The sequence below is a fragment of the Homo sapiens genome, chromosome 4 (assembly GCF_000001405.40).
Source record: "Homo sapiens chromosome 4, GRCh38.p14 Primary Assembly".
In the NCBI taxonomy this organism is placed as follows: Eukaryota; Metazoa; Chordata; class Mammalia; order Primates; family Hominidae; genus Homo; species Homo sapiens.
In genome coordinates, this window is record NC_000004.12 from 38,059,652 (window position 1) to 38,079,034 (window position 19,383).

At 43.7% G+C, this 19,383-nt stretch overlaps 1 protein-coding gene across 28 annotated transcripts in view, besides 5 other annotated features; it reads left to right on the forward strand.

Moving 5' to 3' along the window:
• The window catches only part of TBC1D1 (TBC1 domain family member 1), a 248,090-nt gene that overhangs the window by 168,568 nt on the left and 60,139 nt on the right, over window positions 1–19,383 (forward strand). For 12 of the 28 annotated variants that reach the window (XM_011513659.3, XM_011513662.4, XM_011513664.4 and 9 more), the window contains one exon: window positions 969–1,007. The exons of 14 other annotated variants lie outside the window; for them this stretch is intronic. In XM_011513659.3, the coding sequence (XP_011511961.1) occupies window positions 969–1,007 (39 nt within the window). Of the gene's footprint in view, window positions 1–968; window positions 1,008–2,744; window positions 2,901–16,119; window positions 19,206–19,383 lie in introns of those variants that run through there. 2 more of the 28 variants (XM_011513668.3, XM_011513670.4) reach the window with 2 other exon arrangements.
• Window positions 7,837–8,338: an enhancer, noted in NCBI's record as "H3K27ac hESC enhancer chr4:38069109-38069610 (GRCh37/hg19 assembly coordinates)". NCBI's record gives its function as "activates a minimal SCP1, AML or CMV promoter by ChIP-STARR-seq in naive H9 embryonic stem cells {active_cell/tissue: H9 hESC(naive)}" and the evidence as "EXISTENCE:reporter gene assay evidence [ECO:0000049][PMID:30033119]".
• Window positions 8,339–8,838: an enhancer, noted in NCBI's record as "H3K27ac hESC enhancer chr4:38069611-38070110 (GRCh37/hg19 assembly coordinates)". NCBI's record gives its function as "activates a minimal SCP1, AML or CMV promoter by ChIP-STARR-seq in naive and primed H9 embryonic stem cells {active_cell/tissue: H9 hESC(naive and primed)}" and the evidence as "EXISTENCE:reporter gene assay evidence [ECO:0000049][PMID:30033119]".
• Window positions 9,902–10,041: an enhancer, noted in NCBI's record as "active region_21421". NCBI's record gives its function as "activates an Ori minimal core promoter by ATAC-STARR-seq in GM12878 lymphoblastoid cells {active_cell/tissue: GM12878}" and the evidence as "EXISTENCE:reporter gene assay evidence [ECO:0000049][PMID:35858748]".
• Window positions 16,477–16,686: an enhancer, noted in NCBI's record as "active region_21422". NCBI's record gives its function as "activates an Ori minimal core promoter by ATAC-STARR-seq in GM12878 lymphoblastoid cells {active_cell/tissue: GM12878}" and the evidence as "EXISTENCE:reporter gene assay evidence [ECO:0000049][PMID:35858748]".
• Window positions 19,132–19,301: an enhancer, noted in NCBI's record as "active region_21423". NCBI's record gives its function as "activates an Ori minimal core promoter by ATAC-STARR-seq in GM12878 lymphoblastoid cells {active_cell/tissue: GM12878}" and the evidence as "EXISTENCE:reporter gene assay evidence [ECO:0000049][PMID:35858748]".

The window sequence follows — 19,383 nt, forward strand, 5'->3', positions numbered from 1 at the left end:
ACTAGGCAGAGGGTGGCGTTAGCGAAGCTACTGCAGGTTGGGTGTGTTTAAGATTTGGATTTATTTTTCTTTTAATTTTTATTTTTAGTTCCAGGGTACATGTGCAGGATGTGCAGGTTTGTTACATGGTTAAACGTGTGCCATGGTGGTTTGCTGTACCTATCAACCCATCACCTAGGTATTAAGTCCAGCATGTGGTTATTTTTCGTAATGCTCTCCCTGCTCCCTGCCGCCCCCCAACAGGCTCCAGTGTTTGTTGTTCCCTTTCCTATGTCCATGTGTTCTCATGATTCAGCTCCCATCTATGAGCAAAAACATGTGGTGTTTGGTTTTCTGTTCCTGCGTTAGTTTGCTGAGGATAATGGCTTTCAGCTTCATCCATGTCCCTGCAAAGGACATGGTCTCATTCATTTTTATGGCTGCATAGTAGTCCATGGTGTATATGTACCACATTTTCTTTATCTAGTCTATCATTGATGGGCATTTGGGTTGATTCCATGTCTTTGCTATTGTGAATAGTGCTGCAGTGAACATATGCATGCATGTATCTTTGTAACAGAGTGGTTTATATTCCTTTGGTTATGTACCCAGGAATGGGATTGCTGGGTCAAATGGTATTTCTAGTTCTAGATCTTTGAGGAATTGCCACACCATCTTCTACAATGTTTGAACTAATTTACATTCTCACCAACAGTGTAAAAGCATTCTTACTTCTCCGCAACCTCACCAGCATCTGTTGTTTCTTGACTTTTTAATAATCACCGTTCTGACTGGTGTGAGACAGTATCTCCTTGTGGTTTTGATTTGCATTTCTCTAATGATCAGTGATGTTGAGCTTTTTTTCATGTTTGTTGGCTGTATGAATATCTTCTTTTGAGAAGTGTCTGTTCATGAGAGAGACATATTTGCTCCTCTGAGTAAAGGGTAAGGATGCTTACGTCTGTGTGACAGCCTTCTCTCTTTTTCAGAACCTCACTGTGGATCGCCATCGTTGGCCTGTACTGAAGGTAAAGCAGATAGAGGCAGTCTCATCTGTCAGATGAAGACCTCATACACCTGTTGATTAAGAGGCTTTCTTCAGATCATGGTTTAGAGCGGTGTTTTACAAACTTGATGTGCTTGGAGTCTTCTGGAAATCTTGTTAAAAGGCAGACTCTGTTGCAGTAGGTCCGGGTGGGTTCTGAAGTTCTAACAAGCTCCCCAGTGAGGCTGATGTTTCAGGTCCACTGTGAGGAGGCAGGGCTTAGAATAAACAACCGTGGGAAATCCAGTCCAGATCTTTGATGCATCCTAGGTTAGGCCTGTCTGTCAGGCTGCCCTGGGTCTCTAGTGATGGACTCCAGGAGTCTCTCAAGTCTCAAATAAGTCTGAGTCATCAGGGATATTTTTTGAGAAGAGTTGTGCTGTCTGAAGAAGCAAAGAGTGAGTGTGATGGGGAAAATGCAGTGATTAAAAACATGGTAAGGTTTAAAGAAAGATTTGACCATATGCCAGGTGAACCCAAATGTATGGTGCTTTGCGTCTTTCCTGCCCTTTGGTTTTCCAGGGAGGCAAGGCCTTATCTCTTATGGAGCACAGGAGACACAGTGTGGGCGTTTGTTTTCTCAGCCGTGGGCTCTAACCTAATTGTCAAGCCTACAAAAAAAAAATGCTGAAAATCAACTTCTGACTAGATATCTGGTAGTACATAATCTCCATAATTTTCTCTCTGGGTGTATTATGCAAAAGATAATCCTTTGTTATTAAGAAACAATTTTTAAGGCAACTCCCAACTTTGAAACGGGGAAAAATCATTTTATTTACCTCTATGTGCTAGGGAACAATATTAAATTTAGTTTTATACTTTTCCTTTAAGCATTTCAGATTATATTGTGCATTTCACCAACAATAGAAGCTTTCAGACTTTATATGTCTTGTAAAAAAAAGCCTAATATAGATAAGAATAATTTATTGATTTGAAACCCATTGTATAAGAAATAGTCCAGTGAAACTTAAGTTCAAAGTTTTTTTTGTCTTGTGGATGTAGCTATGTCAATATGCCTAGTTTATAGTAACATTAAGTCTAGTGGATTAGATATTAGATATCAATTGAGATGTAAGCAGTAATAAACAGTAATGCCTAAACTGAAGTATATAATCTGAATCTTTATGATGACCAATTTATATTATTGTGAAAAACTTAGGAACTGATTTGAAACATGATTTACATGTTTTACATGAAACATGATTTACATGTGTCATATATAGTTTTCAATAATTTACGTACCAGCAGGAAATTTTAGTGGATAAGTGGAATAAACTGCAGGTGAAACTTTGCTGGAAAATACAAGCATAGTGACATCTGTGCACCAAAAGCACCTGGGGAGATTTTTTAAAACATGGGCCAGACATGCCTTCCTGGCTGTCTCCCTCACTGTCAGTGAGTGTGGGGATGGGGTCTGGGCCTGAATTCTTTCTTTTTAGACTCCTCAGGATTCTGATTGCTGCCACGTTGAGAGGGTTGACCTCAATTCGGACCTCAGAGGGTGACTTGAGAAACTGTCACCACTTGGTGGCAGTGTTGCTCCCCGCATCTTGATTGCCCTTGTTTCTTTCCAATCCCGGAAAAGTGTGCTTGTTTTTTTTTTTTTCCCTGCGTGTTTTTGTTTTTGATCTTGCTATAATATTTATATTCCTTGCTCATTTGCAACTTATTTGAATGGAGAGCTACTTTCTGAAATCTAGATGTTTTTCTTTTTCTACAGGGTTTTAGGGCATGGGCAAAACACGGAAGAAAAAAGTTGTCTTCAGTTGGCAGAGACGTGGATTTTTAAGATTGTTCTTAATTTACTTTCTGTATAACTTTGCTTTTCTGTGGTGAACAAAGACCAGGTTCAAGATAAAATATTGCAAGCCAAGAATCTGATTGTTCATGGATTTCTATGGTTAAAGATACTTGATCACCTCCCCATCCGCCCCCTACCCCACCCACCCTGCGCCGCCCCCACACCCCATTGTGCTTCTTGGCTTGTCATTTCAAAAGTCAAGGAAGTCACAGTGAATGGCAAGATTTTACCTCGACTTGCTATTTTTGTGCCTGTTAACAATTGTGAGTTAACACTGACTGAGCTTTTCCTAGTGAACCTCCGGCGTTTAAACAGCCAGTCCATAACACTGTGTGAGGGCTGGAGCTAAGGTTATTGGTGACACAAGATAGCACCTGAGCCAGTGCTGCTTGGTAGGAGGGCTGAGGGGAAGAGGGCTGAGGGCTTGGATGCTGAGATGCTAGAGTCACATCGCCTGGATTTGAATCCCTGCCCTCCTGTTCTGATACCAGCTGACCCATGACGATGCTACAGCACCTGACAGCAGATTCCTCCTTAGGGCTGGTCTAACTCTAGAGTGTGTGCCTGTGTGCCTGCAGGAGAATGTCCAAAGTGAGTGATCTTGATCTGTTAACCTTTGAATTTTAACCTATACCAGGGAGCCATTGAAGAGTTTAAAGCAAGTGAATGACGAGTAGTTTGAAAATATTTCCAGGTGGATAGAATTTGTGGACATACATGAACATGAGCAGCCTCAAAATCAGGGCTGGGACTAGAGTGAGGCCAGCACGTGTCCAGGGTGCAAAATGTAAGGAGGCATTCACTTTCAGGGCCTGGCAGGTGTGGACCCTGAACTTCCAGGACCTTGAGAGTGAGTGTCTCCTAAGGATTACACCCTGGGGGCCTATTTGCCTCATCCTGGTCCCTGGTCCTCTGTGTACCCTATTGCCTGCTTCAGTAAACAGGCAGCCCTGCAAGGGAAGGAAGGGTTGGATCAGCTCTGAGGAGGGAGTTTTTTTAGAAGGATAGATTTGTTTTGTTTAAAAAACAGCTTTATTGAGATATAATTCACATCCTATACAGTTTGTTCATTTAAAATGTACAATTCAATGTTGTGAGGTTATTTTTTGGTATATCCACAGAGTTGTGTGACCATGACCACAGTCTAATTTTTTTTATTTTTTATTTTTTGAGACGGAGTATTGCTCTGTCGCCCAGGCTGGAGTGCAGTGGTGCGATCTCGGCTCATTGCAACCTCTGCCTCCTGGGTTCAAGTGATTCTCATGCCTCAGCGACCTGAGTAGCTGGGATTACAGGCATGCCCCACCAAGCCTGGCTAATTTTTATATGTTTACTAGAGACGGGGTTTCACCATGTTGGCCAGACTGGTCTACAACTCATGGCCTCAAGTGATCCTTCTGCCTCAGCCTCCCAAAGTGTTGGGATTACAGGCGTGAGCCCGACCCACCGCAGTCTAATTTTGAAACATTTTTTGTCCCCCTAGAAAAAAACCTGTAGTTGTCACTTGCCAATCTACTGCCGTCCACCTCTAACCATAGACAGCCCCTAATCTACTTTCTGTCTCTATAGATTTGCCTATTCTGAACACTTCATCTAAGTGCAATCATATAATATGTGGTCTTTTGTGTCTGGCTTCTTTGATTTAACATGTTTTCAAAATTCATTATGTCATAATACATACCAGTAATCCATTCTTTTTTAATGACTTATTAATATTCCGTTGTATAGAGACATCACATATGGTTTATCCTTTACCAGTCGAGAGGCATTTGGATTGTTTGCACTTTTGGCTGTTACGGATAATACCGCTGTGAACATTGATGTATGTGTTTTTGTGTGTTGAATGTGAGCTGGTGTGGAAACTCCTCCTCCAGGGGGGCCTTACCTGTGATTCTACCCACGGGGATGGTTAAGCCAGCAGGGATGGGAAGGGTTTGGTCCTGCTGGCCCTAGGCTTTCCTGCAGGCTGCCATGTGCCTTTCTTCTGCCTAGGCTGAAACGGAGGCTGCCCTGGTTTCTGGCACTGCCCTCATGAGTGTGTGGGAAGGCTGGGGGAAGCCAAGTCTCCATGGTGCCTCCATCAGGGACCCTGCAGCTGGGAGGCAGCCAGAGGGCCACAGGTTGGTAGCATTCACACAGAGCTACATTTCTTTTTTTTTTTTTTTTTGAGACAATCTTGCTCTGTCGCCCAGGCTGGAGTGCAGTGGTGCGATCTCCGCTCACTGCCACCTCCACCTCCCAGGTTCAAGGAATTCTCCTGCCTCAGCCTCCCAAGTAGCTGGGACTACAGGCGTGCGCTGCCATGCCCGGCTAATTTTTTGTGTTTTTAGTAGAGACGGGGTTTCACCACGTTGACCAGGATGGTCTTCATCTCCCGACCTCGCGATTCACCTGCCTCGGCCTCCCAAAAAGTGCTGGGATTACAGGCGTGAGCCACCATGCCCAGCCTACATTTCTTTTTTTTTTTTCTTTGAGATGGAGTCTTGCTCTGTCACCCAGGCTGGAGTGCAGGGGCACCATCTCTGCTCACTGCAACCTCCGCCTCCTGAGTTCAAGTGATTCTCCTGCCTCAGCCTCCGGAGTAGCTGGGATTACAGGCAACTGCCACCACACCTGGCTAATTTTTTTATTTTTATTTTTTAATAGAGACGGAGTTTTTCCATGTTGACCAGGCTGGTCTCGAACTCCTGACCTCAAGTGGCCTCAAGAGGCCAATCCGCCTTGGCCTCCCCAAGTGCTGGGATTATAGGTGTGAGCCACTGCACCCACCCAGCCCGTAGCTACATTTCTGTCAGCTGTTTGCAAACTGTGCCCCAGAATCCCCTGGAGGACTTGTAGAACCACCAGTTACTGGGTTACGCCCCCAAATGTCTGATGCTGGAGATGAATTATCTTGGGTGGAGCCCTCAAGCCGCAGCAGCTGATAAGCATGGGGACCTCCTATTCTGATAAAAATTCCAAAAAAGTCCTGAGTGATTAATAAACAGCACATTGAAAATTAGAAATGAGTTCTATGGCAGGGGATGAAACAGGCAACAAAGCCTATTTTCTTTGCAATGAAGCGCATCAGATATTAATAATAGCCATTGTAATTATCTTTATCATGTATTAAGCATTTTGTGTTTTTCACTTTTACACAATTAGATGATCCCCATAGGTATTACCGCCTTTTTTTTTTTTTTTTTTTGAGACAGAGTCTTGCTCTATCCCCCAGGCTGGAGTGCAGTGGCACGATCTTGGCTCACTGCAACCTCTACCTCCCAGGTTCAAGCTATTCTCATGCTTCACCCTCCTTAGTAGCTGGGATTACAGGCGCCTGCCACCAGACCCAGCTAATTTTTTGTATCTTTTTTAGTAGAGACAGGGTTTCGCCATGTTGGGCAGGCTGGTCTCGAACTCCTGACCTCAGGTGATCCGCCCACCTCGGCCTCCCAAAGTGCTGGGATTATAGGCGTGGGTCACCACAACTGGACTTACTGCCCATCTTTTAAGAGATGAGGACAGAAAGATTGAGTGACACAGTTATGTCTCCTGCAGCTCTTGGTTCACATAGCCAGGATTCGTATCAATCTATTTAGCTCTAAATCTAGTCTCTTAATCACAGTAATGAACCGTTGACAGTTTTACGAGTAAATTATCAAGAGTTTTGATAGGTTTGCTCACTTAAATTAGTGCTTGTACAGTAATGGGCTGTGTTAGTGTGAAGGAATGTATCTTATGTTGGAAGTACTCTAGAATTAAATGTTAACTCTTGCTAATAAAGCATACATTTGGGGCATTATTAGCAACTTTTTTTTTTTTTTTTTAGCAAAATTAGAGGCTTCCTAGTTGAGTGGTTTATGTTATTTATATTTATTTATTTGTTTGTTTGTGACAGGGTCTTGCTCTGTCACCCAGGCTGGAGTACAGTAAGTAGCACAATCATAGCTCACTGCAGCCTCGACCTCTTGGGCTCAAGCAGTCCCCTGCCTCAGCCTCCTAAGTGCCTGGGACCACAGGTGCGCATCACCACGCCCTGCTAAATGTTTACAGTTTTTGTAGAGACAGGGTCTCACCATGTTGCCCAGGCTGGTCTTGAACTCTTGAATTAAAGCAATCCTCTTGCTTCAGACTCCCAACATGCTGGGATTACAGGTTGTGCCACTGCGCCAGGCCTCCATGTATTTGAATGAAAGAGCAGACATCTCCTGGAGGTGGCAAAGCTATGCATGCCCCCCCTGGAGGGGAGCTGGGGGCTCTGGGGTTACAGTGATGGCACATTCAGGGAGCTCTCCGCTTTGTGAGATCCTGAGATAAAGCCAAAGGATGCATTAAACTGCTTCTAAATGAACTTTTTCCAAGTGAATTTGTTATATCACTTCTATATAAATGAAAATATTTGCAGCATGAGTACTAACAAGATTTTTTTTTTCTTTTACCCCGATGGAGTCTCGCTCTGTCGCCGGGCTGGAGTGCAGTGGTGCAATCTTGGCTCACTGCAACCTCCGCCTCCTGGGTTCAAGCGATTCTCCTGCCTCAGCCTCCCGAGTAGCTGGGATTACAGGTGCGCACCACCACGCCCAGCTAATTTTTGTATTTTTAGTAAAGATGGGGTTTCACCATGTTAACCAGGATGGTCTCTATCTCTTGACTTTGTGATCTGCCCGCCTCGGCCTCCCAAAGTGCTGGGATTACAGGTGTGAGCCACGCTCCCGGCCAAGATTTTAAACATTATTTACCAAAGTAGGAACGTGGTAATTATGGTCTTATATAATTCTGAAAATGATTTCTAGTACCAAACTATGAATTTTATACTTGAAAGAATGATGGGTTTTTCACAGAAAGTTGAAGTTATTATGGTTTGTTTCCTGTTCAGGTGTTTTTGCTGGAGAATGTTCGATGAACAGCAGTTCTGGTGATAAGTTATGGATGTACACAGCTGGTGTGGTTTTTAGGATTTTATTTTGCAGCAGCATCTTCCTCAAACAGTTGCCAGGGGACGGCTTTCCTTCTTCTTACTGGTACCAGCCTTTCTCTTGCAGACAAGGCAGTATGGGAGGGTTGGGAGACAAAACAGAAGCTGTTGGTTTCTTCAGCCTGGCAAGGATTCAGATTGCAGGTTGTAGATTGGAGGCCGTCAGTGGGGATACCTTTCCGGACAAAGTGGTGTTTCTGCCTGGCACTGCTTGCCAGAGAAGTTTCAGTTCTTCATTCTCCGTCAGAGAAACCCATATGGACCACATTCTGATAGTTTTCTTCTGTTTCCCTAACACCGAAGGCTCAGCCCCTGGTGCAGGTCCCAGTGTACAGCAGGCTGCATACAGTTAGACCAGATGTTCTTGTAGTACGAAAAGTCACCGAGTTTCCATTCACTTGTGGGTGGCAGGTATGGCCCTCCTTACCTCCCATGGCCCAGGTTTCTCTGTCCTGCCGTTTTCACATTTTCCAGGCTTTCACCTCCAGGTACCAAAATTCACATCATTTAGAGATTGTGTCTGCCTGCCAATACGCGGATGTACCAGTGAGGGATTGTTCTCGCCTGACGAGAGGTCTGGATGATGAGAGAGCAGAGCTGGCCCTGGGGCTCAGTGGTGACACCCTCGAGCTTGGCTGCTTCTGTTCTTCTGCTTCCTCTGCTTGGATTCCTTCGCCTTTGGCTTCCCCTCCAGTTCCAAGCAGAACAAAACAGGAGATATCAAGGAGGAAAGGGTGACCCCTCTATATCTGGAGAGCAAAACTGTCGCGGAAATCCCTAGTGTACTTCCATTTGTGTCTCATTATCTGAAACCGAGTTACCTGGCTGGTCACGTGCAGCCACCAGAGGCAGGAAGGTAGTGATTCTGCCTGTGTGGAATGTTCTAGCATTCCCTGGTAGCTTTTGTTTCTTCAGGCAGCCATGACTTTGCATAGATCATTTCCTTTTGCCCAGGACACTCCTGCTCGTTTTCTCCCCTCCTCACCAAACCCACAGTGCATTAACAGCGACAGACTTCTCCTCATCCTCTCAGGCCACTTGGATGTCACCATTTCTTCTCTTTACCCCTCAGGCGTAGTCAGCCTCTCTGTGCCTGATGTTTTATGGCTTTGTGTATGCCCCGATGGAGAGCGTCTTACTGTGTCTTCGGGTTATTTATCTCAACCTCGCATCTGTGCTATCCTGTACAGTAACCAACAGCCACATATCACTATTTAAAATTAAATACAAACTAATTATACTTAAATGTAATAAAAATGTAGCCCCTCACATTAGCCTCATTTCAAGAGCCACATGTGGCTACCGTATTGTAAGCAGAGCTCAAGAACATTCAGCAATATTGTGAGAGTGGCTACCATATTGAGAGCAGAGCTCTAGAACATTCCCTTATCCCAGAAAGTTCTCTTGGACATGCTGCTCAAGGTGGTGAACTCTGAGATCTCCAGTCCCCCCAGCTCCGTCACTCAGAACCACAAATGTGGCACCATCAGCCTTCAGGGTGGTGCTTGTGTTGTACTGTCTCCTGACTAAAGAAGTAAACTTCAGGCAGTCAAGATTTTCTACAACCCACACTGCTCCTAAAACTAGTGTTACTGGATATGTAAAAGCTATTGAGCCCAGTGCTTTCAAGGAATCCTAAAAGCAAGTGGGGACTGTCATGTATCCAGGTTCCTTGTTTTGCAGAAGAAGAAATAGAGGCTTTAGGGGAAAGGGGTCCACTCAAGGTCATACAGGCAAGGTCATACAGTCAGTGGTAGAATGGACTGGAATCTTGATTGTTCATCTCACTCCCCTTTCCATTAAGCCATAACTGATTGAGTATCACCAACCTGTTTGTTTTCCCTGATTATGTTCCCTTCTCGCCTGTTTAATCAGGTTTCAGCTCCTTGTGAGAGGAAGTTGTTTTCAGCTTCTTAGCCCCCTACCTGTAGGCGGTGCTCTGGGAACGCTCAGGAAGCAGATGCATGTGAGCCTGTCTCAGCCAATGATTGCTTAGTTGCAAGAAACAAAAAAATGACTCAAACTAGCTTAATCAAAAGGAGGCTTTTAAACAGCAAGATAAGGGTAAAGGCTGGGAACTAGGAAGTTGTCAGGAACCAAGGCTGTCTCTCTGGATCTCTCTTTGAGGCCATGTAATTTTTTTTTCCTCTCGGTCTCTTTATTCTGCACACCAGCTCACCCAGCTTGCTTGTTACTATATGCAGTCATGCCAACCCCCAGATCTGTATGACCTGTTAGCCTCAGGGGCACCCACGTAGCTGGCTGCCAATCTGTGTTTTCTTCCAGGTTTCGAGAGGGAGAAATGATTGGCCCAGCTCAGGGTCACTTACCCAGGGAGAGGTGGGGGAAGTATGGAGGCACCGTGGTATCAGGGAACCCCTGGGCCAAGCTTGTCCAACCCGCGGCCTGCTTTCTTTCATTTTTTCTGTTTTTTGTTTTGTTTTGTTTTGTTTTTTTACAGCTCATCAGCTATTGTTAGTGTATTTTATGTGTGGCCCAAGACAATTCTTCTTCTGCTGTGGCTCAGGGAAGCCAAAAGATTGGCCACCCCTGTCCTAGGCCATTATCTGGGCTGTGGGAGGTGTGGAGCAGGGTCAGAGCTGGAGGGGGAGGGCATAGCCTCCAGCCACCATAAGTTGGTGTGTTCTTGGTAATTATATTGCTTGTCAACCGAAGGCAGAATCAGGACAATGAAAGTAATGAGAATCCCTAGCTTTGTAACAGTTAGTGGTTATCTAAAAGTAGGTGAAATTGTACATGAGTGAGTGGCATGAATTTCTTATTACTAAAGTGCTCAGATAGCTGGCTAACTTTCTGTCAAAGATCCCTCTGCTAGGATCAACATTTGATTAATATATTTATCCTGTAATAAGAATTTGGGATTCTTAAAGCAAAATAGTTGTCATGTGGCTGACTACACAACCAAAGATGGTCCAGGTGTCGCTGGAAGAGGAGAGACTGAAGAGCTGTTGCCAGGTTCCCACGTGGACCTTCGGCATGACCCGGCCATGGGGAGGCCTCACACGCTCCTGCATCGCCCACATCTTGCCAAGCCATGGAAAACACTTGGGATTCATATCTAAATCCTAGTTTAAGCTTGGTGAGGACAGTGGCCTGGTGCAGAGTTTGGGTCATAGATGGTGCTTGGTTTCTTTTGTATAAAGGGGTATATGATTTTGGAATATTTACCAAATGTGGGCATTTTTTCTATAAAAATTATTGTATCTACTGAGATTATAGTATGTAAAAAAAACATACACATGGAGAAAGAATACAAAGAGAGCATTGATATTCTACAGAAGTGGCAAGAAGATGTGGTGATAGGTGATATTTTTGCCTTTTGTTTCAATTTTGTATTGTAGTGACTTTTTTGGTAGAAAAAACTAATTTCTAATTAAGGGAGAAACATTTGAAGTACATTTAGTCTTTCTAGAAAACCTCATCTTCTCATAGAAGTTTAAGATGGAGACATACTTCCATTGTGAATCATGATGCTAACCAGTATTCAGATTTGTTGGAAATGGACTCAGTTTTAAAATTGCTTCTCTCTTGTGGGCTGGAACTGCAAATGATTGTTTGGGGATTTTTCCCCTTTTCTTCTATGGAGTTATTCAACTTGGCATGACCAGTGATTTGAGCTGAGAACATGGAACCCTTGATTTGCAGAAATCAAGCCCCCAAAGGTACAGATACAGTGGTCATTGTCTGAAGGGTTTCTTTTGTTCTTGGCCCTCCTGTCCCTGCTCTTACTGTGGCAGCTGCAGCTGCAGGTGCCTCTGAAGCCTTGCCATCCATGGTCACTTCCTGCCTGCTCCCCACCCACCCCTGGGAAAGAGCCCCCAAGTGTCCAAAAGCACTGTGTTGCCTAATGCTTGTTGAGAGTCTACATTTCTCTAGATCTAGCAGAAGTAAAATTTCAGTTTGTTATATTTATAGTTTCAGGAATAGTTTGGGAATGGATTTAATAAAAAATTTAAAAGCCCATCATTTTTATATCTCTTTTTCGATATTTGATGGTTTAAAAGACATCAAAGTTATCTTCTCCCATTACTCATCCTATACAATTAAAACCTGTTTTTTGAAGTTGTAATAGGTAAGTTAGCCTTAGGTCACCCCATATTTATGTAAACTCCAGCCCACTGCCACAGCTACTTTGATTGTGATCTGTCATTGTGTTACCCACTGTAGGGCAGAAATGGTTCCTGCCTCATGCCGTTGCTGCTTTACTCTTCCTGAAGTGGTGTGGTTCTGTCTCTGTAGTCCTTGGCACACTGTAGGTTCTCAGATGGCAGGGTGAAAAGTTCTTCTGTTTGCTTAAATCTCTCATAATACCCTGAGTCTGTGGAGCTCAATAAATTCTACTTGGTATTATTGATAGATTATTTGGAGCCTTTTATGTTAGAAAAGGGATTCTTAATCCAATGCTCCGTTTTACAGATGAGAAGACTGAGGCTCAAAGACCATACCCCCAGGAGCCATGATTTGCACTGTATTTAGGAATAGTGTCTAGGGTCAGCACCTGGTGTTGGCCGACTGCAGAGCAGCCTGGTTAGGAGCCCTGGGGTTGGGCGGGTCTGGGCTGCTGGTGCCACAGCAGTCTCCCTCCCCTGGGACTTTGGGCCTGCTACCCACCCCTGTTCCTTCCTTTGTGAGATAGGGCTAGCAGTAACTGTCTTGTTTCATCAGAGGCAGTATTGCATAATGAATGAGAGCTGGGGCCTAAATTAGGCACAAGTGCAAGCCCTCAGAAAACTATGTACACCTAGAGAGAGAGAGAGACACACGTCTGTATGACAGAGAGGCAGGGTTTGGGAATGTTCTGATTTCATGTTTTGAATTGGTGTGACCTTTGGGAGGATATCCTTGGAATCGCAGAGCTTCGTTTACATCATGACTTTCCTGCCCACCCACATTTTCTGAGAGGCCAGAGTTTTAAATGTGGACCCCGTGAGCTTTTCTCTGTTGCCTCATTTTGGCCTGTGGCCTTTTGTTTTCTTGGTATGTCATGAGGCAAAATAAAATGAAACTCAGTGCTGGTTAATAACTCCCATCATAATGTATATTTCTGTGAATGGCTTTTTAGCCATTTGAGAGGAAAAAGGGTCATGTAAATTTCAGAAAGGCCTGATTGGCTGGAGAGTCAGTGTAGTGTCACAGTTAAGAGTATAGATTTAAAAAAAATTTTTTATTGTGGTAAAAAACATAAACATAATACTACCATCTAAACCATATTTAAGTATAAAGTTCAGTAGTGTTAAGTATATTCACATTGTTGTGCAATGGATCTGCAGAATTTTTCATCTTGTTAAACTGAAACTCTATGCCCAATAAACAACTCCTATTCCCCCTCTCCCAGCCCCTGGCAACCACCATTCTACTTTCTGTTTCTCTGAGTTTGACTACTGTAGATAACTCATTTAAGTAGAGTCATATGGTATTTGTCTTCTTATTTCTGGTTTATTTCGCTTAGCATAATGTCCTCAAGGTTCATTCACGTTGTAGCATATGACAGGATTTCTCTCTTTTTTTTCCGCCTTTTTTTTGAGTTATATTCTGTTGTATGTATATTTAACATTTTCTTCATTCATCTGTTGACATTCATCTGCTTCCACCTTCCACCTTTTGGCTATTGTGAAGACTGCAGCTATGAACATGGGTGTGCAAATGTCTCTTCAAGATCCTGCTTTCAGTTCTTTCGGATATGTACCCAGAAGTGGGTTTGCTGGATCGATCATAGTGTAGTTCTGTGAGTAACCCTCATACTGTTTTCTGCAGCTGCTGTACCATTTTACATTCCCACCAACAGTGCCCAAGGGCTCCAGTTCCTCTACACCCTCACCCACACTTGTAATCTTCTGGATTGCAGATTTTCTGGATCAATCTTCTGGATTACACTTGATTTTCTGTGTTGGGCCTGGATGTTTAGAACAGTATCCCTCCTTTGGAGTGGTAAATATGTAAGTTTTTATTATAAAATAATGGCCATCCTAGTGAGCGTGAGGTAATATCTCATTGTGGTTTTGATTTCCTTCATAGTTAATGTGGTTGGGCATCATTTCATGTCCTGGTCGGCCATTTATGTTTCATATTTGGGGAAATGTCTTTTCAAGTCTCAAGTCCTTTGCCCATTTTTTAATTGAGTTATTTGATTTTCTACTGTTGAGTATGGATTATTAAATCAGACTGGCCTGAACTTAAATCATGGCCCTTCCATTTTTGACCAAAAGCAGCTGTGTGTCCCATTTGTGCCTTGGTTTCTTCGGTGTAATGCCGGCATAATGATAGCCCCACCTTGTAGTTAAGAGTGTTGGGGCAGTCAGTGAGGAAGCACTCACTCCACAGGAGCTTGTTACGTAAGGAGAAGGCAGCCGGTCCATTCCTAATAGGGGTCTGAAGGAAGGAAGAAGGGCTGAAGGAAGTAAAAAGAGCCTCCTCCATGAATGGCAGCCATTCTTGAAATCCACCTTGGCTGCCTTCATTTTTAATGTCAGTGGACTTTTAAGACAACCAAAAGGATGTTCTTGGATGACCAGAGACTGTGGCAGAGGGAGGATGGTCACATTGCCAAGGATCTCTCTCAACCTCTTGGATAGTGTGCTGCTGGTAGTTTGCACAATTGCTTCAGCTTTTTGGCAAAGTACATGTAAAATCCTGAAGTCACTGCCAGAGGAAACCTGGTTCCTGAGATAGCAGCTTGATGCTCCTGCCCCATCCCAGGTGCACACCTCACTGGGCAGCTCTGGCTCTGAATTGAGGGACAGCAAAAACCTCTAACCAACCATACTGAAAAGCAGGCATTGGGGGCTTTAGGGGAAGGTTCTTTTCAAAACTCATGATGGGGAGAGACCAAAGACTGGGAATCATTGTAAAGAAGTTAGTCATAGATGCTTCACTCTTTACAATCATCCCAACACAAGGTTAAACAACATGCAGTTTTCACGATGTCCCAGAAAGCGACGAGTGCAGTGAGGTGAAACGTGGCCATCTGAGCACACAATGACCAGGCTTGGAAGGATCGATTTCCCCTGTGCTGGCCCTCAGAATTTAAGGCACAACTTTTAAGCTGAGTGTGCAGCACTCGATTTTCTATGTTGGGCCTGGATGTTTAGAAAAGTATCTCTCCTTCAGAGTGGTAAATATGCAAATTTTTTACTGAATTACTTCATTTAATCAAAGCAGCCGACTTCTCCTGCCTCCCCTGTTTCTGTCTTGGGGTTGAATATTTGGTCCCATGTAACAACTCTTGATTCTTAATGATGCCACATGGAAGCTGTGTGTGCTGGGATTTGCCATATTCAGTTATGGTCAGTAGAGACTTTCTTAGTCTCTCTCTCTTTTTTTTTTTTTTTGAGACAAATTCTTGCTCTGTCACCCAGGCTGGAGTGCAGTGGCCCAATCTTGGCTCGCTGCAACCTCTGCCTCCGGGTTCAAATGATTCTCCTGCCTCAGCCTCCCGAGTAGCTGGGATTGCAGGCACGCGCCACCATACTTGGCTAATTTTTGTATTTTTAGTAGAGACAGGGTTTTGCCATGTTGTCCAGACTAGTCTTGAACTCCTGACCTCGTCATCCGCCTGCCTTGGTCTCCCAAAGTGCTGGGATTACAGGCGTGAGCCACCGCGCCTGGCCACAGTCAGTAGAGACTTTTGAAAGGAAATATTACCTCTTTAATGATGTTTTTAGTCCAAGTAAATTGTGGTAATGTTTAAGAAATTTGCTTACCACAAAAACAGTTTTCAAGGAGCATTTGAACTTGTCCACTTTAAGTCATAAAATGGATTAAAGTGTTTGAAATCTATTGGGATTGTAAATTTATGTCAGTGTACTGACTTTCAAGAGATCTTGATGATCATGTCGTCTGTTTTCATTTTCTACTACATGAGAACATTGAAGCCTGAAACTTAACACAAACCCGAGTTCCCCACTTGCCTAAGAGTCATGGATACCTAAAAAGTATGCTACTTCCCAAGTTGATTTCTTTCAGGATATGGGCCCTTCAAAGGAAAGCAGTGAGGCTGGGGTTTTCCAGGTGGAAAGGTCACATTTCCACATATAACTCAGCGAACATTGTGTTGGGTTGGGAGAAGAATTGGTTCACTATTTTAAACTTTTTGTTTCATCTTGAGGACTTCCCCATCCCCTCTCCTCCGCAAAGCACAAAAGTATTTCCTAATTTTTAAGTCATGGGCTTCCTTTAATGGATTCTGAACTCAGATCACGTCCAGATAAGCATTGTGTAATGGGATGGGTGGGGTTAGATATTTTAGTCACAGATGCATGAGAGGAGGGAGGGTGGAGGACAGCAAAGTTTATAACTGGAGCCTATAGTAGTTTATCTCTTGTCATCGGCCAGGTCACAGAGTCTCACTTCAGGACAGCTGTGCAAGCAGAACCCCCATCACGGTTTTCTTGATGCCTTTGACAGTCACCTGTACATGCCTCTGGGACCTTTCCTCCTCCTTTCTCTTTTTGTTTTTTTTCCCTTGGTCACATGTTTCATTCTACTAAATGTCTAACCAGCTCTTCTCTGTAAATTACAGAGCTGTGATGGCACCTTGCTTGTTGATTATTTCTGGTTGAATAGTTTCCAATGGGACTTCTCTGGAGATAAGTCCTGTATTAGTCCGTTCTCACACTGCTAATAAAAACATACCTGAGACTGGGTAATTTATAAAGGAAAGAGGTTGACTCACAGTTCAGCATGGCTGGGGAGACCTCAGGAAACTTACAATCGTGGTGGAAGGGGAAGCAAACATGTCCTTCACATGGCAGCAGGAGAGAGAAGTGCCGAGCAAAAGGGGGGAAAGCCCTTTATAAAACCATCAGATCTCATGAGAACTAACTCACTATCATGAGAACAGGATGGGGGAAACTGCCCCCATGATTAAATTATCTCTGCCTGGTCCCTCCCATGACATGGGGATTATGAGAACTACAATTCAAGATGAGAATTGGTGGTGACATAGCCAAACCACATTAAATCCCAAGTGCGCATGTCTGGCCCTGATCCCTTTATGTGAGACTGGGGTCATGATCCTCCCGCACCCGTCTTCTGAGCCCTATTCCTACTTGGGCATGCTTAGGCACTTCAGCATCTGCATCCCATTGATGTCTTAAGGGTGGTTCCAGACCTTGGAGGTACACACGACACACTGCTGATGAAAACCTAGAATATAGAATGGAAGTTACATTTATTCATAGAGTGAAAATCCAAAAATAGACCAGAGAGAAGATATGAAAATATCAAGAATGCTTATCTTAGGGAGGTAGGATTATAGGTAACTTTTTTTTTCCTTAGATAAATATATAGATAGATATATTAGTGTTTACAGTTTCTCTGCCACCAACCAAAATATTTTTTTCAGGAGGAAAAAAAACCCCAGCCAGCCAACATACCTAAAAACCATCTCCTGGGCCCGAGAGGGAAAAATTGGGCTCCTTTTCTTGAAATTGCCATTTGTGCCACTGTTGTATTATTTTACCAGTAACTCCAGATTCCAGGCTCCTGTATCTGAGTTCTCTCTCCTTCCACAGTGGAGCTCATACCTTCCTGTTTCCTGGCTGCCACTCAGATTTAGGCTCCGTTTTTCAGACCTCAGTGGCTGTAATAGCTGTTCCTTCTACCTCTTAGGATGGTTCTTTCTGTAATAGCCTTTGTCATCACATCATCAGAGGATGATAGCTCTTAATGAGGATCTAAAATTTGCAGGTAAGATATCCCTGCCTCTGACATGAGATAGATGTATTGCATGCTATTTAACATACAACTATACTGAGTGTGCAGTTGTATGTAAAAGCATTGTTCTAGGTATTGGGTTGAAAGTGGATCAAATGCTAGACAAAGGAGCGTACAAGTCTTGTAAGGAAGACAGCTGCCAAGAGAGAAGAAAGGATGGGGAAATGCTGCGTCTACTAAGTTCAAGGTTCTGAATTGGAAAGCTGCAGCTATTGAGGAGAAGAGTCTTTTAAAATTCCTAAAGGGTTTTTGTTATCTTTTATTGATGCAAATGCTATTTTGTGGCATAAACCTTAATAATTTTGGGGTTGAAACTCTTATCAGGATAAAATGATCCTTTTCTATCCCAAGCTTAATAAATATTGTTTAAGTACAAATTAAATATATGAAATCTGCCCATCTATATTATAAATGTCATATGGCAGAAATTATACCTTGACTTTTGGTTCTTTCACAAAACCTTAATTTTTTTTTTTTTTTTTTGCCTTCAATGAATTTTGTCTGATTTTACATTAAAAGCCTGTAATTTCTCAAGTCTTGAGTCTGGGGAGCCGTCGTCATCCTTTTTTCCCCTCTCCCTTGTCTTCTGGATGTTCAAGCGATTTTAATTAGATGTTGGGCTTTTATGTCAAGTGCTGGCATTGCACTCCATGATAATCCAGGGACTCGGAAGCACATGTTATGCGTCACCCTGGGTTGGTGCAGTGGAACTGGGGTGGGTTGGAAGTAGTATTCTAAATCTGCTTCCTGCGATGGGGTAGGTCAGGTTGTCCTGTGTTGACAAGGAAGAAGTCTGGGTGAGGAAGCGGGATGAAAGCAGACCAGACGCTAGAGTCCACTTTCAAGTCCGATCCCAGGACCTGGCTTAAAGTTAAAGAACAGCAAAGATGAAAGGTGCCGCACAGCAGCACAGGTCGGTGGCCACGTTAATGACATAGAAAGCAAGTGCTGTGAATTCAAAAGAAAGGACAGCTCTGAGCCAGAGTACTTGGTGACTTTGCTCAAACAAATCCCTTTCTGGCACCCCCAGGCCTTCCCTCCCGCTTCAAAAAAATTCTGAATTGTGCCAATCCATTGAGGCTCAGCTCAAGGCCATCCCATGCCTTTCCATCGTAATAAAGCCTTGTTTCCTGGGCTTTAAACATATTCCTTTTTTCTTAGGTACAGATTGAACTTTTTTAAAAGGGAAGTTGTCAGAGGCTCTGTAAAACGTTAAATCAAACCTGCTTTGTTTTAGGGATGGGGTAGCTTGGAATCAGATTTGCTCCTGCTATGGACTGAACATTTGTGTCCCCCCAAAATTCCTATGTTGAAGCCCTAATGCACAGTGTTATGGTGTTTGAAGGGAGGCCCTTGGGAGGTGATTAAGTTTAGATGAGATTGTGTGAGTGAAGCCCTCATGAATGGGATTACTGTCATCCCAAAAAGAGGTAGAGACCCCAGAGCTTCCTCTCTCTTCACCCTGTGAGGATACAGCAAGAAGGAAGCTCTCTGCAAGTCAGGAAGAGAGAGGGCTCTCACTAGAATACACTTGTACTGCCACCCTGATCTTGGACTTCCCCTCCAGAACTGTGAGAAACAAATGTGTGTTGTTTAAGCCACCCAGTCCCTATGATTTTATTAGAGCAGCCCGAGCTCCATTCTCCACTCCCTGGCTTCCTGCATGGACTTTGCAACCAGAGCTTCACGGGGTATAGTTTAATAGCTGTTTCTCTGTAACATAGCCACTTTTCTCTTTCCAGGTCTAGTTTTGACCCTCATAACACTTTGTTAGGGGAGATTTGAGGGTGAGGAAGTTGGCTTGCTTTTCTTTTCACCATGTCTCAGTAGAAACAGAAGCAGAAAGGCCCTGAGATACTGAGCCCACCT